The 25,019-nt window shown below is 33.3% G+C and overlaps 1 protein-coding gene across 8 annotated transcripts in view, besides 1 other annotated feature; it reads left to right on the forward strand.

The window, feature by feature from the left end:
- Positions 1-25,019, forward strand: part of NAALADL2 (N-acetylated alpha-linked acidic dipeptidase like 2) — a 1,369,567-nt gene that overhangs the window by 54,661 nt on the left and 1,289,887 nt on the right. Inside the window, exon 1 of one of the 8 annotated variants that reach the window (XM_017006074.3) lies at positions 12,479-23,511. The exons of the other annotated variants lie outside the window; for them this stretch is intronic. The gene's annotated coding sequence lies outside the window, so the exon portion shown is untranslated. Of the gene's footprint in view, positions 1-12,478; positions 23,512-25,019 lie in introns of those variants that run through there. 8 annotated transcript variants of the gene reach the window in all.
- Positions 5,063-5,564: an enhancer, noted in NCBI's record as "H3K4me1 hESC enhancer chr3:174218495-174218996 (GRCh37/hg19 assembly coordinates)". NCBI's record gives its function as "activates a minimal SCP1, AML or CMV promoter by ChIP-STARR-seq in naive H9 embryonic stem cells {active_cell/tissue: H9 hESC(naive)}" and the evidence as "EXISTENCE:reporter gene assay evidence [ECO:0000049][PMID:30033119]".

Consider the following 25,019-nt stretch of genomic DNA (forward strand, 5'->3'; position numbering starts at 1 on the left):
ACTCGTGGAGAGAGCTTTTTGAGAGGTTCACAGGGGATACTGAATCCAGCTGTATGTCTTTTTCTGTTGCAGTTAAAATTTTTAGTACTTAATAGACTTCTTGGTGTGATAGCAAAAATGAAAAAAATAGCTGAGACTCAAAAGATTCTACTTCTAATTTAGTACTATTGAGCTGTAATTCAATTTCAGTGGAACTGTTTCCCCATCCATTAAATGAATGACAGGATTAGATCAGTAGTTCTTATGCATGCATACAGAAAACTTTGTATATAATTTCAGGATGTTCATACAGCCATTGAAATGCAGCAGCAACCTATGGATCTGTATACACTGAACTCTATGACCTCCTAGGCCTTTCCAGCTAAAATTTTTTGATTGTATGACTGTGCTCTTGAACTTCAGCACAGCTGAAGTTTGGTTTGGCAGCTGTGCTAGGTGGGGCACCTCTGGCTCTTCCAGGGTGGCTAGTGAACAGTCAGTAGGGCAGCTGTGTTGATTTGTTCTGTGACCTCATTGAGCATCCGTCACTATTTCCCAGCTCAGTCTGTGCACATACTATCTCTATTGCCTTGAAATTGTTTTTGTTTGATTTACTATGAATACCCTAGACATGTCTTAAAGCACTGAATATGCTAAGGAGAAAATGTAACTTCCATTAGTATTTTGGCTATCTTTGTGTTGACATTAGATGTTGGTAATATTTTTGGCTCATTTCTTAGATACTTTTGTGGTCATAACTCTAGGGGTTCACTTTTCCTTTGCCCAGATTATAGGACAGTGAATTCTTTCTGAATGTTAAAGATATGTATTCATTGATGCCAGCTTATGGTGTGTGTCTGTGTCTATATGTATGTATATATTTATATATTATATATATATATATATATATGTAAGAATTGGATAAAGAGAAGGATTTGGCCATATATATGTTACTATCTGTTTAGTACTCAAGGGGTTGGAATTATTACTCTTTTAAGAACCCTCAGTTAAGAGTGTTTTAAAATCTAAAGTTTCCATCTTACTGCTACCCTTGACCTTGATGAGATGACCAACAGCTTATTATTCTGATGGGTACTGAAATAATAGAATAATTAAATAACAGTGAACTCAAGTTGTGTTAGAACAGTTACAAAACTATTTATTTACCTTTATAACCTCCGTAATTTTTGTGGAACTCCTTGTGGGGTATAACACTCCAACAAGTTAAACACGAACGTATCAGCAATAAGATCTAGACTGAATGTGTTCATTAATGCATAATTCATTGTAAGTGATAAAAATAATAACACAGCCAGCATCCTGATACCTTCTCTGTCCTAACCCCATAATTTACTTGTTCCATTACTTGCTTATCAGTAAAAATGTGTAATTACATTTAAAGCTCATTACAAAAACCTTTACCTTTAAATTCCTAACTAGAGTCTTGTAGCATTTGCCCATCAGTTATTTTGCCAAAACATTTTAATATCTTGGAGGCGTAGATGATATGCAAATAGGTAATACTTTTCAGAATCATTTCTTTTTTTTATTTCTACAGGGGTATCATTCTTATATATTCACCTTCATATTCATATTAAAATTTGTGTAGTCCTGGAACTTGTGTCACTGGGGTCAGAGGAAGAACTTGTTGTCTTCCTGATATTATAATATTGCTACTTACTTTATACTTAGCTTAGAAGATTTTCCTCTGGAAAACTTTCACAGCTGGGTGCAGTGGCTCAAACCTATAATTCCAGCACTTTGGGAGGCCAAGGATTAAACTCCTGGCTTGAACCCAGGAGTTTAAAACCAGCCTGGGCAACATAGCAAGATATGATCTCTATTTAAAAAGAAGAAGCGAAAAGAAACCTTTCATTACTTATCCTTTATTGTATTTCTTGCCCCAGATTCATTAGGTATACTTCCTCCATGGTCATGTTATGCCTGAAAACACTTCTACGTTTATCTATTATTGCAATTGCCACATCTTTTGAAAATTATCTTCATAAATGTCTGTCTTCCCTAGTAGAGCATGACTTCTTGATGGTGGAGACTCAGTCTTATTTATCTTTTTATCTTTTGAAGCTGGCGCAGACTGACTTAATAAATATCTTTTGAATGAATAAATGGTAGTTCAATTTATTGTTAATTGCTTGTGATAATTTTGAATTAGAGGACTTAGACTAAAATATGTGACAATATATTTAATTCTAATGCTTGTCAGTACTAGAGTTGTTAATGTAAAAAACTGAAAGATATACCTGATAAGTGATATCTTTGGAATTCAAATTAGCAAAATATTTTCAGTACAAACATGGTTCAGGTTAAATAGTTAAATGGTTCAAGTGAAAATTAGTGAATCCTAACATTTTAGAATGCTTATTTCTGTTTTTTCAATTTTTAACAGCTTTAATGAAGTATAATTGATATACAGGAAAGGGCATATATTTAAAGTATACAATTTATGAAGTTTTGACATATGTTTATATGTGTGATATTATCACCACAATCAATATAGTAAACATGTACCTCATCCCCAAGAGTTTCCTGATGCCTCTTTGTAGTCCTTACCTCTTGCCCTTCCCCTAGTTCCTAGGCAACCAGTGATCTGCTTTCTTTCATTATATATTAGTTTTCGTTTCTGTGATTTTATATAAATTAAATCATTTGGTATATGCTCTTTATGGCTTCTTTAATCACAGTTTTGAGATTCATGCATATCATTGTGTATTAATCATTTATGTTTAAAAATATTTTTGTGGAGTAGTATTCCATTGTATAGATAAGCTTTAGTAAGCTTCAATTTGTTAATTCTTTTTCCTTGTTAATAAACATTTGAGATTTTCCAGTTTTTGGCTCTTACAAATAAAGCTGCTACGAACATTCATGTATAAGACTGTGTATAGACCTGTGCTTTTATTTCTCTTGAGAAAATAAGGGGAATGGCAGGATTGCATAATATGTATATATTATAGTTTCTTTAAAAGATAAACTATATATAAACATATATATATAATATATATGTTTATCTTTTAAATGAACTATCAAACTATTTTCCAAAGTGGATGTGCATTTACATCCCGGTCTGCAGTGTATGAGAGTTCTACATTCTTCACATCTTGCTAACACTTCCTATGGTGTGGTTATATTTAGCTATTCTAATAGAAGCATAGTGGTATCCCTTTGTGGTTTTAATGTGCATTTCCCTAATGATTACTGATGTCGAACATGTTTACATTTGCTTATTTGCCATCTGTTTACAATTGTCCACCCTTATCCTCACTTTCACTTTCCATGGTTTTAGTAACCTGCAGTAAACAAAAAATAGGGTAAGTCCAGAACAGTAAGTTATTCTGAGAGAGAGAGAATACACTCATAGAACTATTATTAAAGTATATTATTACAATTAATCTTTTTTATGTTATAATTGTTAATCTCTGACTGTGTCTAATTTATAAATTAAACTTTATTATAGGCATGTATATATAGGAAAATGTATATGTAGGATTTGGTACTATTTGTGGTTTTAGGCATTCACTGAGGATCTTGGAACATGTGCTCCCTGGATAAGGGGAACTATTGCATCTTCTTTGATGAAATGTCTGTTTAAATCTGTTATCAGATTTTCAATTGGGTTTTTGTTAAGTTTTGAAAGTTCTTTATGTTGTTGAGATATAAGGGTTCCTCCTACATTTTGGATACAAGTTATCAGATACATAATTTGCAAATATATTCTCCTATCCTGTGACTTGTCTTTTCATTGTTTTAACAGTGTCATTTAAATAGCAGAAGTATTTAATTTTGATGCAATTCAGTTTTCCACTTTGTTCTTTTATAGAGTGTTCCTTTATGGTATTATACTAAGACAGCTCTGCCTATCCCTATCCCAAGCACACAAAGCTTTTCTTGTATGTATTATTCTAAAAGTTTTACAGTTTTAAGTTTAGATCTGTGATCCATTTTGAATATTTTTTATGTATTAAATTATGGGTCAACTTGCCTTTTCTTTTTGTGTATGGATTTTTAATTGTTTCAGCATCAGTTATTGAAAAGACTATACATTTTCCACTAAATTGTCTTTTTTTTAATTGGTAAAGAAATCAGTTGTTCCTGTATATGTGGGTCTTTCGTTGGAATCTCTCTTTTGTTACATTGATCTATTTGGCTATCTCTAAGCTGACACTGTACTTTCTTGACTACAATAACTTTATAGTAAGTCTTTTAATCAGGTAGAGTTAGCCCAACTGCAAATTTGTTCTTCGTTTTCAGTTATTTTGGCTAGTCTAGGTTATTTGGATTTCTGCGTGAATTTTAGAATAAGTTTTTAAATTTCTGTAAAAATCCTTCTGGGATTTTTTTCAGGATATGTTGAATATATACATCAATTTGGGGAGAATTGTCATTTTAATGCTATTGAGTCTTCTGACCCTTGAAAAAAGGTGTGCCTCTCTGTTTACATGTATCTTTTTTATTTCTCTTGGCAATGTTTTATTTTCAGTTTATAGGTCTTCTACACCTTTTGTCAAATTTATCGTTAAATATTTCATAATTTTGATGTGATTTCAGATGACTTTTTTTTCTAAATTCGAATTTCTGATTATTTGTTGCCAGCATATAGAAATATAGTTTTATGTGTTATACGTGGATCTTGGATCCTACCACCTTACTAAAATCATTTATTTGTAATAGCCATTTTTTGTAAATTCTTCTGGATTATCTGTAATAGATGATCATGTCCTATATGATCATTTATAAACACAGTTTTGGCTCTTCCTTCCCAATCTGAATGTCTTTTATTTTTTTCCCCCTCCTCCCACTCCCCAAACACACATGCACACAATTCTCTGGCTAGAACCTCCAGTGTAATGTTATATCAAAGTTGGAAGATCAAACAACCTGTGTTCTTCCTGATTTTGGGAGGAAAACATTTACTCTTTCTCTATTAATTATGATGTTAAATGGACATTGTTTTTTTAAAATGCCTTTGTCATGTTGAGGAAGTTTCCCTCTATTCCTATCCTTCTATTCCTAGTAGGCTGAGAAATTTTATCGTGAATGGATATGGGATTTTGTAAACAATTTTCCTGCATGCATTGAAATGATCATGTTTTTTCTTTATCAGTCTGTTATTATGGTGAATTATATTGATTACTTTTTAAATGTTAAGCTAGCCTTGCGTCCCTGGGATAAATGGATAAATCCACCTTGGTCATTATATTTTTGGATTCCATTGGATAATTTTTTTTTTTTTTTGATATGGAGTCTGGCTCTGTCACCCAGGCTGGACTGCAGTGGCAAAGTCTCAGCTCACTGCAACCTCCTCTGCCCAGGTTCAAACAATTCTCGAGCCTCAGCCTTCCGAGTAGCTGGGATTATAGGCGCCCGCCACCATGCCCGGCCTGTATTGGATAAAATTTTAATTTTTACATTTACTTACATAGGCATATAGGTCTCAATTTTTTTTTTTTTTTTTTTGAGACGGAGTCTCGCTCTGTCACTCAGGCTGGAGTGCAGTGGCGGGATCTCGGCTCACTGCAAGCTCCGCCTCCCGGGTTCACGCCATTCTCCTGCCTCAGCCTCCCAAGTAGCTGGGACTACAGGCGCCCGCCACTACGCCCGGCTAATTTTTTGTATTTTTAGTAGAGACGGGGTTTCACCGTTTTAGCCGGGATGGTCTCGATCTCCTGACCTCGTGATCCGCCCGCCTCGGCCTTCCAAAGTGCTGGGATTACAGGCGTGAGCCACCGCGCCCGGCCTTTTTTTTCTTATACTAAGATAGTAGTAGGTTAATGCTGGCCACATAGAATGTTGGGAAATATTCCTTCCTCTCAGTTTTCTGGTAGATTTTTGAGACTTTGCTTTTTAAGTGTTTAGGAATTTTCTCCAGTGAAGCCATCTGGGTCTGGATTTTTATTTGTGGGAAGAGTTTTAACTACAAATTCAATTTCTTTAAAAGGTATAGGACAACAAATGGCTATGTATTTATTCTTGAATGAGCTTTGGCAGTTTGTGTCTTTAAAGGAATTTTTTTCCATTTCATCTAAGTTGTAGAATGTATTGGCTTAAAATTTTTCATAATATTCTCTTAATATTATAATAGCTGTAGCATTTGGAGTGATGCCTTATTTCTGATTTCTTATATTGGTAATTTATATCTTTTTTCTTTTTTTGCTCTCATTAATCTGGCTAGAAGTTTATTGTTCTCCACGTAATTCTTTCAAAGAATCAATTTTTGATATCATTGAATTTTCCACTGTTCTCTATTTTTTGTTTCATTAATTTTTAATATATTCTCTCATTTCTTTTACTTGTTTATAATTTTCTGTTCTTTTTCTCTTTTTTAACAGTAGTTTATTATAGTTTTGAATTAAAGGTTGCATAGGTAAGAGCTATTTTTTGATCATGTTGAGTTTATTTTTCTTGGATTAGTTTTTTATTTTATAGGTTAAGAAGGAAAATAGAGAAGCTTAAGTGAAAGTTACTCTTTTCTCCTCTGGAGCAGAAATAGAAGACTTTAATGCATGCTTGAAGACCAGTGTTTTCCCTCCCATTATTTTCCCATGATAGCCTGAAAGCAGTCATCTGTTAAATAAGACATACTGTCTGATTTGCAAAGTATACATTTTCTTAATTTCAGGTTAACCATGCTTAAAAAGCATTGCTCTAAATGAATTTTTTTGTTGTTGTTAGAAAATATAACAGTTATAGTTCACTTCAAATTTACATTCGTGTGATACTTTTTAATTCTTTTAACTGCACAAAATTTCTTCTGCTATCCTAACTACCTGCAGTACTTCTACTCTTGAAAGGCATCATTCTCATTTAATAGCTCTGTTGCAATGGCCTAATAAATACTGATATAGCATTATGACACACATTATTTATGGTCATTAAATTACCTCAAATCTTTTATTTTTTAAAGTGTAATTTTTATTAGTCAGTTATTTTCATTTGAATATTTATGTATTATTCAGATATATGTATATAAACCTCATTATTTTGAATAAGGGAACCTGTTAATAGGGGAGAGTAATAATTTTTCCAAATTTTCAGCAACATTATACTTTTCTAACTGTTGTGTTTCCAAGGTGTTATGTAGCAAGCTTGATATGAATAAAAAATAATCTTGCCAGGCACAGTGGCTGATGCCTGTAATCCCAGCAATTTGGGAGGCCGAGGTGGGTGGATCATGAGGTCAGAAGTTCGAGACCAGCCTGGCCAACATGGTGAAACCCCGTCTCTACTAAAAATATAAAAATTATCCAGGCGTGGTGGTGCGCGCCTGTAGTCTCAGCTACTCAGGAGGCAGAGGCAAGAGAGTTGCTTGAACCTGGGAGTGGAGGTTGCAGTGAGCTGAGATCACGCCACTGCACTCCATCCTGGGTGACAGAGTGATACTCCATCTGAAAAAAAAAAAAACCTCTTATCTTTCATATTACTACTTTCAGAAAACTTTGACAACGTAAAAGGAATGAGGTATTCAATTTGGAAACAAGGCAAATTGGAATGAGCTATTTGGCTATGCTTAGATTTCTGATAGTTGAAGATAAAATTTGTAAGGCATCAAGGGACATATAGGACATGAGACAGTATCTGGCACCTCCCAGGTAGTATGCCTGAGTACTCTAATGTAGAAAATGTCTGCCATGTTTCTGAATTTACATAAGTCTTTTCCAGTTGCTACAAAGAGTCCATGATATGTTTTTCTTAAGAAAACCTAACCATAACTTAACCATTTATGTTTTTCATCTTATTATGCTTATGCCAGTCAGTAATTAAAACAACACAAAAATTTTTTTAAAAAAGGAGTTAATCAAAATTAGCATTTTCTTAAGGTACAGATAATATTTATTTTTGGAGATCTGACTTAATGTACTTTACAGATAAAAATATAATTGTCCAAACTCTATTTTTTATGAGAAGATTTATGGCTTTTCAAAAATAATTAAAAATATTAGTTTAATTATTTGACTACTTAAGACTAAAATAGCTCATTGAGATTTGTGCTTATTTCACTTAATACTAGAAATGCTATGCATGCAATTTATTCTAAAAAATTCTAAAAGCCTGCAATTTAGAACAAAGGAAATGATCTGGAGTTGGTAGACATTTCACTTGGTTGTCTTCTAATATAAGAAGAACAATATAGACTTCCTTTAAACATTTAATAATTTTACAGATACAAAAAGATTTCCAAATTTGGGTCAGAATTTTTCTTTTATTGAAATATAATGAACCCTTCTTTCAAAATTCTTCTAATAAAATTCACAGATTAATAGAGAAAATGAATATATTCGATACTAGATTTTTACCAGTTGTTTTTAAAATGCATTTAGACTAGAGGCCCAGCTTCACCTGGATGTATGGTTAATTTCATTTTTGCATATTATTCTAGAACTTTAGTTAAAACAAAATGTTACTATAAGCTGTTCTACAAAAGCATATGATCTGTTAAATTCTCAGGTATTGTAGGCACTCAAAGGGGAGTGCTTAACTATGCAGCTATTCTGTCAGTTTATATATTTTGCCAGTGGTTGGACAAATAAAGATCAGGTAAAAGATTCATTTGTATCTAAATTGTATTGTGAAGGCATCATAATATTCTATGGTAAAATAATATATAAATTTTTAGAGGAACAGAATATTTATTCTACAGTTAGAGCCAATACCCCAATGCAAATGTTTGTGGGGGAGAATAGCAATTTAGTTTCCTTATTAAGGAATATGGAGTGATACACTGGGGATATTAAATGGTTTTTCTAGGAAGTACTTGTTTCTAGTTTGGTATTCAAACCAGACATGGCTCTACATGCAATTAGATGCTATTGGTAGAATTGAGATAAGAGAATTGGAGACTTAAGTGGGCATTTCTTAGTTTATGCAGAGTAGAAGAGACTTGTCTCTAGGCCTCCATCCTAACTGTTTAAACATTGTCTTCTGTTTCAGAGAATCATTCTTGATTTTTAAAGGAATTTTCTACTCTCTCTTACTTAAAGGAATGAGAGTTTACATCTATTTACTGCCTATTATATGCTGGTCAGGAGTAAGTAGCATCCTGAAAGGAGATTCTGAAAGAATATAGGTATAGATACATGTCACCAGACCTGACTACTGGCATTGGAACTGGTCTTATGAAAATAAAGAAGGAGAAAGCATGCACAAAACATAGTTGCCACCTGTTTAAGATGAGCTCTTCTTCATTAGTAGTAGTACAAGTTTATTTTCAAGCCATGTCACTAGACATCTCGTATAGAGAAGTGTTTTCTGTTTTTACAGTCATTTTCTTTAACTCCAGCATACTATCTCATGAAGGCATGAAGATGTCAAAAGGATAATCAGCCTAAACCATCTCCACTAATGGAAATGTTTCCAAGTACACAAATTGGTCATAACATCAACTCTCGAAATAGAATGCAGCACTTTTAAAAAACTTAAAATATACTGTAGATCATTACTGTTATCTTAACAGTCTGATTATGTATCTTCAGCTGATAAGTTGTCTCAAATAGAGATCCATTTTGTAACCTAATATTATGAAATGAGGGGAAAATCCCATTGTAAAAATTCTTCACCACTATCTCCATAATCTCTACTTCACTGAGTTTCATCCAGGTGCAAAAATGAAAAATTATAACCTGCCAAGCATCAGTGGCAGAGTGAAATGAAAAAATTGTGAGTTAATAATAGTGATGCCTCAAAAAAATTTCCTGACCAATTTAACATTGCTTCATCCAAGGTCACTTCTAAGCGCTGATTATTTTTAGTAATTTGCAGATGAGACCATTCTACCTTGGTCATGGTTAGTGAAGATCAAGAAAATGCCAGAGAAGGTTTAAGATTCAAGGTTATCTTTCTCAAATAAGCCACAAACCACAGTTTCATTCTATTTTCTTAAGACCTAGCTGAGAAATAATTTTAAATGAAATGAAACTTAAAGTCTGTGCTATCTTTTATTGGGAGCTATAAAGTCATCATAACATAAAGCATGAGGGATAAGGGTAGTGGAAGGACACTGTTTAGTAGGTCCTTAAGTAGCATTTCATGTGGGAAAGAACTCAAGGCATTTTTCTAGTATTTTATTCTGACACTTTAAAAAATCATCATAGATTGTACTTTATGTAAACTTTGATTATGATGACCAGCTACAGCTCATTTTTTAATTTCTAGAAAATTTCCAAATTACTTTCTCTTGCCCAATTTGAAATTTGAACTTACAAATGGTCTGTAAAAATCTTTTTTATTACACGTAAATAATTTAGATAATATAGACAACTACAAAGAGGAAAATGAAACTTTTCCTAATTTTACCACTCATGGATAACTTGTATTGGTCTTTTAGTGTATACTTTCCAGACCCTTGGGTGTATCTCTGCGTGTGCAAGCATGTGTGTGTCTATGTGTGTGCACGTATGTGTGTTTAGAGAGGGGAGGAGATGAGATCATCATTGAGATGAGTAGGATGATAGATTTTTTTCAATAAGTTTACTCTGAAGATATAATCATATTTTATCTAGCAACTTGCTTCGTACATCTTTCTATGTCAATAATTATTGGTTTATATCTTTTTTTTTTTTTTTGACACAGGGTCTCATTCTATTTCCCAGGCTGGAGTGCAGTGGTGTGATCTTGGCTCACTGCAACCTCCACCTCCCAGGCTCAAGTGATTCTCCTGTCTCAGCCTCCCGAGTAGCTGGGATTACAGGCACCCACCACCATACCCGCCTAATTTTTGTATTTTTAGAAGAGACAGGGTTTAACCATGTTGGCCAGGCTGGTCTCAAACTCCTGACCTCAAATAATCCACCTGCCTCCGCCTCCCAAAGTGCTAGGATTACAGGCGTGAACCACTACCTCCGGTCTATGTCTTCATTTTTAACGGCTTTGCATTAAAAATGCTGTCTGTGGCATCTGATATTGATAAACATTTAGAATATCTAGTTTTTCACCATATAAATAATTCTGAAATGGCTTTTAATGTCTATCTGATTATAGAATAAATTTTAAAATTAAAAATGATAAAATTTTAGACATTTGATATTTATTACAAAATCCTTGCTAGAAAGATGTAAGTTTACTCTTCTATCAGCAGTATTTGAAAGTGCACCTTTATCACACTCTTACAAGTAACTAGGTGTGTGAAATTTGGTATGTCAGCATTGTTTTATTTATTGACGTTGAATACATTTTGAAATTTTTAGTAGCCATTGCACTTCTTTTGTGAATATCTTGGTTATATCTTTTTCTTATTTTTTTATTAGTGTGGGCCTCTTTTTCTTATTTCTAAGTAATAACTCCTTGTATTTATTAAGGATATTAATAATTTGTCTCATTTATATTTTAGCCTTTTCCCCTAAATTGTCAATTTTAATTTTATTTTTATTTCCTCTCAATATCTGTTTATCTTGTCCTTATTTCTGGTTTCTGGCTGTGGAGCTATGCTTACAAAAGCTTTTCCTATATAAAGTTATAAGATTAATTATTTAAATTTTTCTTCAGCTACTTTTTGAAGTTTGATTCTTATGTTTAATTCTATAAGGAATTTATTCTTATATATGATTTAAGGCAAAAGTTTAATGTTTTATTTCCAATGGCTAGTACCCTTAATGAATTGCACAGCCTTCCTTATTGATTTAAAATGCTTCACTTACAAAAGATGTTTTCAAGCTATGCTCTGAGGAAGTTTAGGTATTCTATGTTGGGGATGTTGTTCAAGAGCTACAAACTAAGTGAATGGTGTTTTCTTCTTACCTTCCTTCCATCTCCAGTGAAATACCTATGAGTTTTTCTCACTGATTTTTTTAATACATTTCAATACAGTTTCTTCTTATTTTTGTAATCACCCTTATTGAAGTACAGTTTGTATACATGCATTAATAGGTATATAGCCGACTACATTCAATAGAGAATATTTCCTTCTCCACAATTTTTCTTACATCTCTGTGCAGTCAGTCCTCCTCCTCTATTGCTGAACTCTGGCAACTATTGATCTGCTTTCTACACAACAGTTTTTAGGTTTTACATAAAAGACTACAGCAGATAGTCTTTTATGTCTGGCTTTTTTCACTCAGGATAATGCTTGTGAGATTCATCTATGTTGTTCATGTTCAAGTAGTTTGTTCTTTTTATTGCTGAGCAGTGTTATGGCTATCCCACAACTTGTTTATCCACATATGAACATTTAGGTATCATGAGTTAAGCTGAGTTTTTGTCTTTTATGAATAAAGCTGTTATGAACATTCTCATACAGGTCCATGCATGGATATAAGTTTTTATTTTCCTAGGGTAAATTAAAAAGAAGTGAGATTGATGAGTTGAAGTAAGTATATGTTTACATATATAACTTTATAAAATAAAAAACTGCCAACTTGTTTTATAAATGTCTGAACCATTTTGCATTTCTGCTAGCAATGTATGAGAATTCTAGGTGTTTCACATGCTTGCCAACACTTAGTATGGCCAGTTTTTTAAATTTTAGCTATTGGATATCTAGTGGTTTTTTTTTTTTTTTTTGAGACGAAGTCTTGCTCTGTTGCCCAGGCTGGACTGCAGTGGCACGATTTCGGCTCACTGCAAGCTCCGCCTCCCGGGTTCATGCCATTCTCCTGCCTCAGCCTCCCGAGTAGCTAGGACTACAGGCGCCTGCCACCATGCCCGGCTAATTTTTTGTATTTTTAGTGGAGATGGGGTTTCACTGTGTTAGCCAGGATGGTCTCGATCTCCTGACCTTGTGATCCGCCCGTCTCGGCCTCCCAAAGTGCCAGGAATAGAGGCGTGTGCCACCGCACCCGGTCCCTGGGTGTATAGTAGTTTAACTTGCATTTCCTTAATGACTAATGTCCTTTGTATTTCCACATAAAGTATAAGAAAAATATGCCAACATCTACAAAAAAGCCTGCTGAAATTTTAATTTCGATTTTGTTGGTCAATAGAACAATTTGGGGAGAATTGACATTGTAACAATATTGAGTATTTCATAAACTGAAAGACTCAGTTGTTGTCTTTTCACTTATTGATGTCATTTTTAACTTGTGTCAGCAAAGTTTTGTCATTTGCAGGGCACAAGACTTGCATATATTTAAAACATTCCTAAACATTTCATATTTTGGTGTCATTTGAAGTGGCACTTAAAAAATTTTTAATTTCTGGCTGGGCGCAGTGGCTCACGCCTGTAATCCTAGCACTTTGGGAGGCCGAGGTGGACGGATGTCTTTGAGCTCCCGAGTTTAACACCAGCATGGGTAATGTGGCAAACACATCTCAAAAAGTATATAATAACAATTAATTTCTAATTTTTGTTGTTATTATATAGAAATGTCACTTTTGATTTTTCTATGTAGACTTTGTATCCTGTGTACCTGGTAAGCTCATTTATTAGTTATAGTATCTTCGTGTGGATTCCTCAGCGTTTTCTGCATGGACAATTATGGACAATTTTTCTTTCCTGAAAATATATTTTTTTCCTTTGTTTTCAAACTGTATGCCTTTTTTTTTTCTTTTTCCTGCCTTCTTTTACTGGCTTATGTGTCCAGTACAATATTGAATATATAAGTGGCAATAGCAGACATCCTTTTTTGTTTCTTAGAGAGAAAGCATTCAGTGCTTTCAGTATTTCACCATATAAAGAAGGATGTTAGCTGTAGGCTTTTCAGAGATGCTTTATTAGTCTTCTCAGGCTGCTATAAAAGAATATCACTAACAGGGTGGCTTAAATAATGGCAATTTATTTTCTCATAGTGGGTGGAGAGAGAGAGAGAGCGAGCTCTGGTGTCTCTTCCTTTCTTTCTTTTTTTTTTTTTTTTGAGACGGAGTCTTGCTCTGTTGCCAGGCTAGAGTGCAGTGGCATGGTATCTGCTCACTGCAACCTCCGCCTCCTGAGTTCAAGCGATTCTCCTGCCTCAGCCTCCTAAGTAACTGGGATTACAGGCTCCCGCCACCACACCCAGCTAATTTTTTTTTTTTTTTTTTTTTTTTTTTTTTTGTATTTTTAGTAGAGACGGGGTTTCACCATGTTGGCTAGGATGGTCTTGATCTCCTGACCTCGTAATCCGCCCACCTCGGGCTCCCAAAGTGCTGGGATTACAGGCGTGAGCCACCGAGCACAGCTGTCTCTTCCTTTCTAATTAGGGCTATCTTCCTATCAGATCAGGGCTCCACCCTTGCTACCTTATTTTACCTTGATTATGCCCTTAAAGACCCTATCTCCAAATACAGTCAGATTGAGGGTTAGAGATTCAACATACGAATTTTGGGGGGATGCAGTGCAGTCCTTAACAGATGCCATGTATAAGATTGAGAAGTTCCCTTCTACTTTGCCTAAAATATTTATCATGAATAGGTGTCAAATTCTCTGAAATGCCTTTTGACATCTGTTGAGATGATCATTTTTTTTTGCTTTTCTTTTTTAGTTTGTTATGGGGAATTACATAATATATTTTTTGAATCATAAGTCCATCTTGCATTCACTTAGTCATGTTTTATTATGTGTTTTATATATTGGGAAATTAAATTTGCTAAAATATTGTTAAGGACTTATTTTTATGTCTGTGATCATAAGAGATACTGATTTGTAGTTTTCCTTTCTTGTAATGTTTTTGGTTTTGAATTAGTATAATGTTGGCTTCATCATACGAGTTGGGAAATGTCCTTCCTCTTGGATTTTCTGAAAAAAGTTTATGTTGAATCAATTTATTTTTATTTTTATTTTTTTTGCTTAAACGTTTGATACAGTTCTCCAGTGAGGCTATGATAGGCTTGAAATTTTGTTTTGAGAAGGTTTTTAAACTTAAGTTTAACATCTTTCTTTGAGAATGGTTATTTGTATTATCTATTTCATGTTGACTCACATCTTTCAAGGATTTTTTTTGTTTCATCTAAGTTATTGAATATATTGGCATTTGTTGTTCATAATATTTTCTCCTTATGCTTTTGATGCATGTATAATCTGAGTGATGTCTTCTCTCATTTCTTTTTCTTGATAAATCTGGTTAGAGGGTTACCAATTGTATTGATTCTTTTAAATAACCAGCTTTTGGTTTTTTTGATTTTCTGTATTGTTTGTCCATTTTCTATTTCATAGATTTCTGCTTTCACCTTTATTATTTTCTTCTTTCTGTTTATTTTAGGGTTCAATTTTTTTACTTTTTTTTAACTTCCTTAAGGTGGAAGCTTAAGCAAGATGATTTAAGAGTTTTTTTTCTTTTTCTAACATGAGCATTTAAGCCTATTTACTTCTAAGCACTGACTTAATTGCTTTCCATAAATTGTGACATGACGTGTGTTCATTTTCTTTCAATCAAAACGTTTTCTAATTTCTATTATAATTCTGTTGATCCATGTGTCATTTGAAAGAATTTTGGGATTCTAATATTTGGGATTTTCCATATATATTTCTGTTACTGATTTATAATTTAATTCTGTTATGGTGAGAAAAACATACTTTGTATAATTTTAATCTTTTAAATTTATTAAGATTTTTTTATGACCCAGAACGTGATCCATCTTGGTGATTGTTCCACATGGACTTTATAAATACGGAATGGGCTACAAATGTTAATTAGATCAAGTCAGTTAATGGTATTAAGTCTTCTGTATATGTACTGATTTTTTTTCTCCACTTGTTTTATCAATTGCTGAGAAAGACATGTTGAAGTCTCTAATTTACATATTTTCTAGTTCTCTTTAAGTTCTGTAAGCTTTTATTTCATGTATTTTAAAGATATTTATTAAATGCATGAACTTTTAGGACTATTATGTTCTCCTGATGAATTGACCCCTTTATCACTGTGTAACTCTCTTCTTTGTATTAATATTACTCATTGCTCTCAGAACTTCTTTTCTGATTTAATATGGAAATTCCAGCTTTCTTTTGGTTAGTGATTGCGTATTATTCATCTTTCAGCCTTTACTTTTAATCTATTTTTTTTCATATTTCAAGTAGTTTTTCTGGTTAGATGGTAAATAGTTTTTTTTAATTCAATTTGACAAGCTCTGCCTTTTAATTAGAGTATTTAGACCATTTAATTTCCATGTAATTATTTCTATGTGTAGGCTTAAATCTATCTTGGTGTTTGTTTTCTATTTCTCTTATCTGTTTTTTTTTCTTGTTACTGTCACCCTGTTTTTTCTTTCTTTTAGATAAAATGGACATATTTTATGATATTTTGTTTCCACTCGTCTCAGCATGTGCGTCTTTTTGTTTATTTGTTTAGTGTTTACTCCAAAGTTGACAACATGATGTTTAACTTTTCAGAGTTTACCACCGAATAATGTTATTTCACTTCATGTAAAAGTATAAGAATCTTCAGATAGTATACTTCCATTTTTCTTCCTCTTGCCTGTTTTCTTACTTTTATAAGTTTACTAAACCCTACAATAATTTTTGCCTTAAACAATTATTTTTAAAGTGTTTAAACTGAGAATCCTTATATGCTTTATCATACATTTGTCATTTTTATAACTTTGTATACATGCAAATTTCTATTTATATAATTTTACATCTACCTTAAGAACTTGGTTTATCATTTCTGATGTAGTAGCAATAATTTTTCGAGTTTTTGTCTGAAAAACGTATTTAATTATTAAAAGATATTTTTATTGGGCTTAGATTGGTAAATTGATGATTTCACTGTCTTCTTTTAGTGCTTTAAAGTATGCTCCATTGTCTTTGATAGTTTCTGATGAAAAGTTGGCTGTAATTCTCATCTTTGTTCTCTTGTAGATGATATGTCTTTTTTTCTCCAGCTGCACTCACTAAAGCATGACTCTCTGGGGTCTCTTCTGAATGTCCCCAGTGTTCTTGGGTGTCTCTTCATTATAAATGGTGGAAATCTGTCTTCTGAACTGTTGAGAACTCTGAAAATTGTTTGCTCTACAATTTTCCAGTGATTCTTTTTCTGGTCTTAAGTGATTTCTACTCACACGTCGGCAGATCAATTGTGAGTTAATATCTGGAATGGATCTCCATGCAGATCTTTAGAGATCTATTTTTGGATAGCCTTAGTATCTCAGTATTGTTTCCCACAAATTTTAGCTGCCTTGGCCTCCCCAAACGGATCTCTGTCTCCTCAACTCAGTGAGATAGCAAAGCTCTGTGTGGCTTCCTTCTTTCTCTGCTACCTCTTGGAGACTGCATGGGGATTGATCTTCTTGTTTCCCTTCTCTCAGAGTCATAGTTCAGTGTTCTTGTTCATTGCCTGAAAACAGTGTTTTTATATAGTTACTCTGGTTTTCTTAATAAGATGGGCACATAAAGCCTGGTATCTGTTACTTCACCTTGATTTAAGTGGAAACCTATAGTTTCTTTTGAACAAAGATGACCAGTGCCACCAAATAAGCTTGATTTTTTTTTTTTTTTTCTGGGAGACAGAGTCTCTCCCTGTTGCCCAGGCTGGAGTGCAATGGCGTGATCTTGGCTCACTGCAACCTCTGCCTCCCGGGTTCAAGCGATTCTCCTGCTTCAGCCTCCTGAGTAGCTGGGATTACAAGCGTGTGCCACCACGCCTGGCTAACTTTTGTATTTTTGGTAGAGACAGGGTTCCTCCATGTTGGTCCGGCTGGTCTTGAACTCCTGATCTCCTGATCTACCTGCCTTGGCCTCCTGAAGTGCTGGGATTACACTTCCCTGGGTGTGGCGTGAGCCACCACACCCAGCCATAAGCTTGAATTTCAATGACATGCTGGTATTGTATATATCTCCATCTAGATAATTTATTCTAAGTATCTACTTCTCTTAATGATTTATTTTTTCACCAGTACATACCAATTTAATTATCTTATCTATTTTTAATGAATATCAATATTTAAATTATAGTTAATTATATAACTGGCATCTTTCTAATTTCATGTAAATTTCAAATATTCCTTAGACTGTATCTGTTTGTTTCCAAAGATTGGTAAGATCCACTGGACTCTTATTTCATTTGGAATTACAAAATCCTTTGCAGAGGTAAGGTAAAAGAGGAATTTCATATTGTCAATATTGCTGCTTTCTGTGAGCTCTTGCTTTTACTGAATAAATTCGGTTTAGAGATCTTTTTGTCATGTATGCTTGCTGAATGTTTTTCCATTGTGTTGTTCCAGATTTGAAATTCATCTTCATTTACAAAATCTACCCACAAAAGACATAAAAAATTACACCTTATTATAAATATCTGGATTTGGAGGGACAGCACTTCATTGTAGGACTAACAAAGAATTTCACATGAAATATGAGACATCTGTTCTTGAAAGTCCTTTTGTTACTCTAACACCAGATTTTAATTTTGCCACTTCCTTCAGCGTCATGTCTTGCCTTTGTTTAATTCAGTATTGCTGATGTCTTCTTTTTCTCTCTCTCTTCCCCTTGTCAGCCCTCTTCTCTGTACCCACCTATCCTTACATTTTTGATCATTTATGATGCAAAGCAAATTAGCTATCCTTATTTATATACTGGAACCTAACATAGCAGGCTCTTTGATCCTATTTTCACCCCAAGTGAATTATCAATGTTTTTTTTCTAAATTAATTCCCTCTGTAAGAATGATTCTGTTGCTCACTGTTAAGATAATGAATTTTCCACCCAGTACCTTTGTAAAAATGATGCTCCATATTTTGCCCTTTAATTTTATATTTTAATGTTTTAAAATTGTGAATGTGTATTGTTCCTAGCTTTAACGGCTGTGGTCGCACTTCACATGCCACTCGCTGCCTTAAACATAGTCTGAGGCAAGAGCAACAACAAAGTCTCTATGTATATGTTTCATAAGAAAAAATGATTATATAAAAAGCCATATGAAAAATATCTATAATAGAAAACCAGTTGCTATATAAAATTCCCAATTCAAGACATAAAATATGAAATGCTTATATTCAGTTATATCCATGAATCTAATCAAGGATTATGTATGTTTTTATTTGTTTCACTATCAAGAGAGTTGACTAATTACTAAACAGTTATTAAGTAGTCTTTTCTATAGGGAAATGAAAATATTTGTATACATGAATAGATGAAGTTGTACATTGTAGATCCTATTTCACATTTGGGCTCTTTTTTCATAGGAGTATATTTGCTTTTATGTTATTGTTTATTCTTTCCTCAAAATTTTATAAATTTTTTTCTATTTTTCTTTGATCTAATGTATGATGTTTTATTATCAACCTCTGGAGAGTATAACTAAAGACAATTTAGAAAATAACAGTACTGCTTTTTACTCAGTAAAAACTCTTTCATCATTGATTTGTGCTCCCCCAAGAATTACTTTTATGTCACCATTAGTAAATTACTACACTGGGTACCCGAGGCTGGTCAAAAGAAATACTGGCTTGCTACCTACTTCCAAGTGTGATAATACCTAGTTGAGGTCATAGAATACTCACCTGTGAAATTACTTATAAAGAATGTTTACAAATGAGTTCAAATTTAATACTCTAAATATATTTCAGAAACGAAACAAAGATTCTGAGGGAGCAATTATAGTGAAGCAATATTATCAGGAAGGAATCATGAGGTGAGTTTGGAGCAAGTTCTAAAGGAGAGAAAAATAGTATTTCAGAAAAGGCATTCAGGTTGGGAGATGCATGTATATAGGAGGATATGAATATAGTATAAACACAGGATAGCCCTTTTCTATTGGGCTCATACTTTGTTATTCTTTTAAGACTTGTAACTGTTAAGCCCCTAGGTTTGGAATTAATAAAATCTTGCTTTAAATTCTCTTTTGCCATGCACTGGCTATGTGTCCTTGAACAATCTCCATTTCTCATTTTTAAAAATGGGGCAAAATCCTCTTCCTTGAGGATAAAACGAAATGGTGTCTTGAAAAGTCTTTAACATGGAGTTGGGCAAATGGTAACTGCTAGTTAATTACATTATAGCTTTCAGTATGTGTTTTCATTATAAACTACTTAGCACATTTTACAGGGCTTGTCACTCTTGCTAGGCTATATACTGTTAAAGGGGCAGCTTTTAGTATATCAGGTACTATATTAATAAATATTATAGATGTGTGATCAAGTTTTATAGAACAAATATTTGGTTGAACTAGAGAATCTTTTAGGAAAAGTAGTTGAAATCAGAGAACTGACAATTGGAAAAAAAAAAAAACCCCTTAAAGGCTGAGTAAAGTTGAGATAATATATAATTGGATTGAATCATGGAATTATGTTTGGCAACATTATTGACAACAGTGATTCAAGGTTATCTCAGGCCAGTTTAGACATTTTCTCAATACAGTGCCTAGAAAAAGGAAAGGACCCTTTAGATGAATGATAATAGCAGTCTTAGATAAAAACAGACATTAAACATAGGCAAAAGGGAAAAGAAATGATAAGAAGTTGTAGATTAGGAGGAAAGAGCAAAAGCAGTAACAAAACATGAATAGAGAAAAAATGGCAGGTTGACCCAAGTGCTTGGCTTCTTTTGCTACCAGAATGCCATAAAGTATTTATTGTTGATTTTCATACTGTTGTACAACTGCATTGGCAAACAAAAACTTGTTTATATTTCATGGTCTTCATACTGCCTCCCTTTGTTTTCTCTTAGTGGAGTTGTAAATGTTGTGTTCCCAGAGCAAGCACTTCTAAAATATTAATAGCACGTTTTTTCCTCATTGCATCTTTTCAGTATTCTGAGAGCAATTTCATTTGTTAATGACATTAGTCATTATATCTTTAAAATCTTCGTTGTTCAGATATCAGTTATGCATCTCCTCATTTGACCCACTGCTGTATATGTGAAAGGAAATACTATCTACTTAATGAGACCTTTGTTTTTTCCTCCTGTCTTGGGGGAGTAAGGAGTTTACTACTTTGACATCGGTACACACAGTAACTCACCTTCTATTTGTAGACGTTCCACTTCTGCCTGGTAATTCTACTTTACTAACCTAGAGTTGGGTTTAGAAGAGCTCACAGGGCCTTTAGAAGTTGACTGGACTTGGCAATTCATTTCTTACAGTTGCCCTAGGAAAATCAGCTTATTTAATATGTATCTTGGTATTCATTTGAATGAATTTGAAAGGCTTTCTATGAAATTATTCATTTAACAAAGATGATAAAAATTGATCTGTATACTCTTGTCTAATACAAGTTTTTCATTTTTATATTACTTTTGCTTAAAATCATAAGTTAGTTGTGGAACAACTCTCTGATATATAGTACTGTTTTTACTAAATTTTTATTTTTCACTTAAAAGAAAATTACAAATGACATGTCTTTATGCTAAATGGTAAAAAAATCACACAAGTCATTTCTGTAAATGTTGTTATATATACAAAGAATAGTGATTTTGAAATTTGAAAAAATAAAGAATTTTGGAAAAAATAAATGACTTTCAAAGTCTAATATTTGTCAGTATTATAATTTAAATTATTCTTTAGGTTTTAAAAACATATTTTAAAATGTAATATTAGCCAGGAATAAATTGCGAAAAGCTCCCTTGCTATAATTACTTTTAATATTAATTTTTAAAATGAATTAGATGTTCATATAGTAAAACGTATGGTTACAACGTAGGTTGTGATGTGAAGATTATTTTTTGTTTTATTTTCTATAAGAGAAAATTAACACAGTTTTATATTCTGATTAAGATTTATATTATAGAGGTTTTGGGGGTTGTTGCTATTTGCATTTTGTCTACAGATTATTAAATGTTACAGAAGTCACTGCTTGTCTGTGCCACTGGATCATTCTTTTGCCAAAATAAAGCATTATGTATTTTCATCTTTAATTGGAGTGCTTTCAGAACAATTATCTTAGCAGTTCCTTTTCATATCCTTGGAATTATATTTGCTTATTAGATTTAATTGAAAATAGTGTTGGTACAAATATTAGAATACTTTTCTGGTAAGGTAATCTAAAATGGCAAGTGTTTCTGCTTTTACTTTTGGTATTCTGTTCTTTCTCTTTTTTAATCACTTTAAAAATAATTTTATCTGAAGAAAATCTAGATGAGGTAGTTAGCTAATGAACAGCTGATTGTGTATTTGGTTCATTTTGAGAAGTTTTAAATCCAAGTTGAACTTTTAAAATGTACTTTTTCTTTTTTGGAGAGAAGAGATTTGAGTTGTTATGAGACCAAAGTGACACCAAGTGATATGTGGTACCAAGTTAAATAAAGACCTGTGATTACTCCTACATTGATGATACAAGGAATTATTCTGTTAACTTTCTCATGTCCTTGTACATGTTTCTTTCAGAAATCTCTAGTATATTGTGTTTCTGTCACTCACTGATTTCCTCCTAAAAACAGAATGTCATTTTAAAATGTCATTTTAAATGACAGAATGTCATTTTTAAAAATTAAGTAAAGTATTTACATATTCTTTTATACACAAGTCCCAATCTCAAATGCCTGTAGAGGCAATGTAGGTGAAATAGACGACTGAAGTGTAGAGGTGATCAATGGTAATTAACAGATGGTATCCATGCTGATAAGTAAAAAATTGCACAGACTCGAAAAAACTGGAGAATGTATGCCCTATTTAAGATGAGTAATCACTAACCAGCTGTAGTCAATTTTTACTATGTGGGAATGATGGCCCAGGTTACAACATCTTCCTGTTACCTAGAGAGGCTACAAATCTGGATGTATGTGCCTGTGTGTATGTAATTTCCTGATTTTTAAAGTTTGGCAAATTTTTTTAAAATACTGTCTGGACCAACATTGGCCATCAGCTACATACAAGCAAACTGCTCTAGGATCTATCATTTAACGATTTGTCTTTAATACTTTCTGTTTAATACTTTCTGTCCAGTAATGGGAGGCTTAGGGATAGTTTTTTACATAAAATAATTTTAAATACGTTTTTGATTCCCAACTTTTTAAACTCATCTTTTAGCTGATTAATGCCACTGCTTCCTAACTGATCTCTTTGCTTGTAGTGTTTCCAAGTCCATTATCACATTTGAGATAGAGAAATGATCTTACTATAAAGTAAATCACAACCCTGCTTCACATCTTTCAAAGATTCTTCATTAACCTCAGAATAAAATTTAATCACCTTAACATGACCTGTAAGACCCTTATTATCTGGCCTATTTAACTTCATCTCTTGCCATTCCTCTTTATATTCCATGTTTTAGCCAGATTGAATTCGTTCAATAGTTAGTTAGGTTTTCTCTTGTTTATAAGCCTCTTTCCCTACCCATTTGACTTGATGTGTGAAAAAGAAGATAGGTAAACCATTAAAAAGTTTAGATATATTCTAATTGTATTGAGCACATGGTTATCTCAGTTGCCCTTTCAAAGACCATAAGCCTGGTCAACCTTTTGAGAAAGCAGAAGTAGTTGCACTCACATGATAAATCTCTTTGTATTCTGCATTTTTTTAAGGCAAAAGCTCAATGATTTGAATTATTCAGAGTAGAAAAATCTCTGATGACATTATAAAAATTTGTTAGAATATCTCTGAGTTAACAAGGTATCTCTCTGTATTTCTTTATCTCTCTTTCTCTGTCTCCATCACCTACCACCTGCAAGACAAACACATTCAACATATAAAAGATATTAATGAGAGTTTTATTAGAAGCAATAATAATGGTTCAAATCAATATTTGGTAAGTATGCTCAATATACAGATTTTATGTTCTTAAACATGGGGATAACATTGTCAAAGGAAATAATTTTCTCAGAGATCTTTGAAACACAAGATAATTTAAAAGCTTCAATATTAAGATTAAGATTAGCCCTCAGCAAAGTTTTTGAAACAAGTGAATGAATGAAGATTTCCTTTTTTTTTTTTTTTTTTGAGACAGAGTTTCACTCTTTTTTGCCCAGGCTGGAGTGCAGTGGTGTGATCTTGGCTCACAGCAATCTCTGCTTCCTGGGTTCAAGTGATTCTACTGCCTCAGCATCACGAATAGCTGGGATTATTATATGCATGCGACACCACACCCAGCTAATTTTGTATTTTTAGTAGAGACAGGGTTTCTCCATCTTGGTCAGTCTGGTCTCGAACTCCCGACCTCAGGTGATCCACCCATTTCGGCCTCTCAAAGTGCTGGGATTACAGATGTGAGCCACTACGCCTGGCCAGGGTTTTTTTTAATGCTCCCTATTTTTCATGTATTACCCTTCTCTTACCCTTCTGTTTTCAATATCTCTTTCAAAATGCCTTGTACTAACCAGAATTAAAAGCAAAAATCTTATGATCATCTCAGTAGATCAGAAAAAACATTCAATAAAATCTAGCATCCTTTCATGATAAAAACCCTTAACGAACTATGCATCAAAAGGAATATACCTCAAAATAAGGAGAGCCACCTATGACAAACCCACAGCCAACATCATACTGAATGGGAAAAAGTTGAAAGCATTTAACATTTAAGCTGAGAACCAAATCAAGAACACAATGCCATTTACAGTAGCCACACACACAGAAAGTAAAATGCCTAGGAATACATTTATCCAAGGAAGTGAAAGATCTGTACAAGGAGAACTACAAAACACTGATGAAAGAAATTGTGGATGATATAAACAAATGAAAAAACATTCCTTGCTCATGAATTGGAAGAATCAATATTGTTAAAGTGACCATACTGCCTAAAGTAATCTACAGATGCAATGCAATTCCTGGCAAATTACCAATGTCATTTTTCACAGAATTAGAAAAAACAATCCTAAAGTTCGTATGGAATCAAGAAAGAGCCCGAATAGCCAAAGCAGTCCTAAGCAAAAGGAACAAAGCTGGAGCCCTCACATTACGACTTCAAACTTTACTACAAGGCTATAGTAACTAAAAGAGAATAGTACTGGTACAAAAATAGGATCAGATCAATGTAACAGAGTAGAGAACCCAGCAATAAAGCCATGTGCCTGCAACCAACTGATCTTTGATAAAGTTGAGAAAAATAAACAATGAAGAAAAGACACTGTATTCAATAAATGTTGCTAGGAAAATTGGCTAGCCATATACAGAAAAATGAAACTGAACCCGTATCTCTCACTTTATACAAAAATTAAGTTGGATTAAAGACTTAAATGTAAAACCTGATACTATAAAAATTATAGAAGAAAACCCAGGAAAAGCTCTTCTGGACACTGGCCTAGGCAAAGAATTTATGAC

The sequence above is a fragment of the Homo sapiens genome, chromosome 3 (assembly GCF_000001405.40).
Source record: "Homo sapiens chromosome 3, GRCh38.p14 Primary Assembly".
NCBI classification, from domain to species: domain Eukaryota; kingdom Metazoa; phylum Chordata; class Mammalia; order Primates; family Hominidae; genus Homo; species Homo sapiens.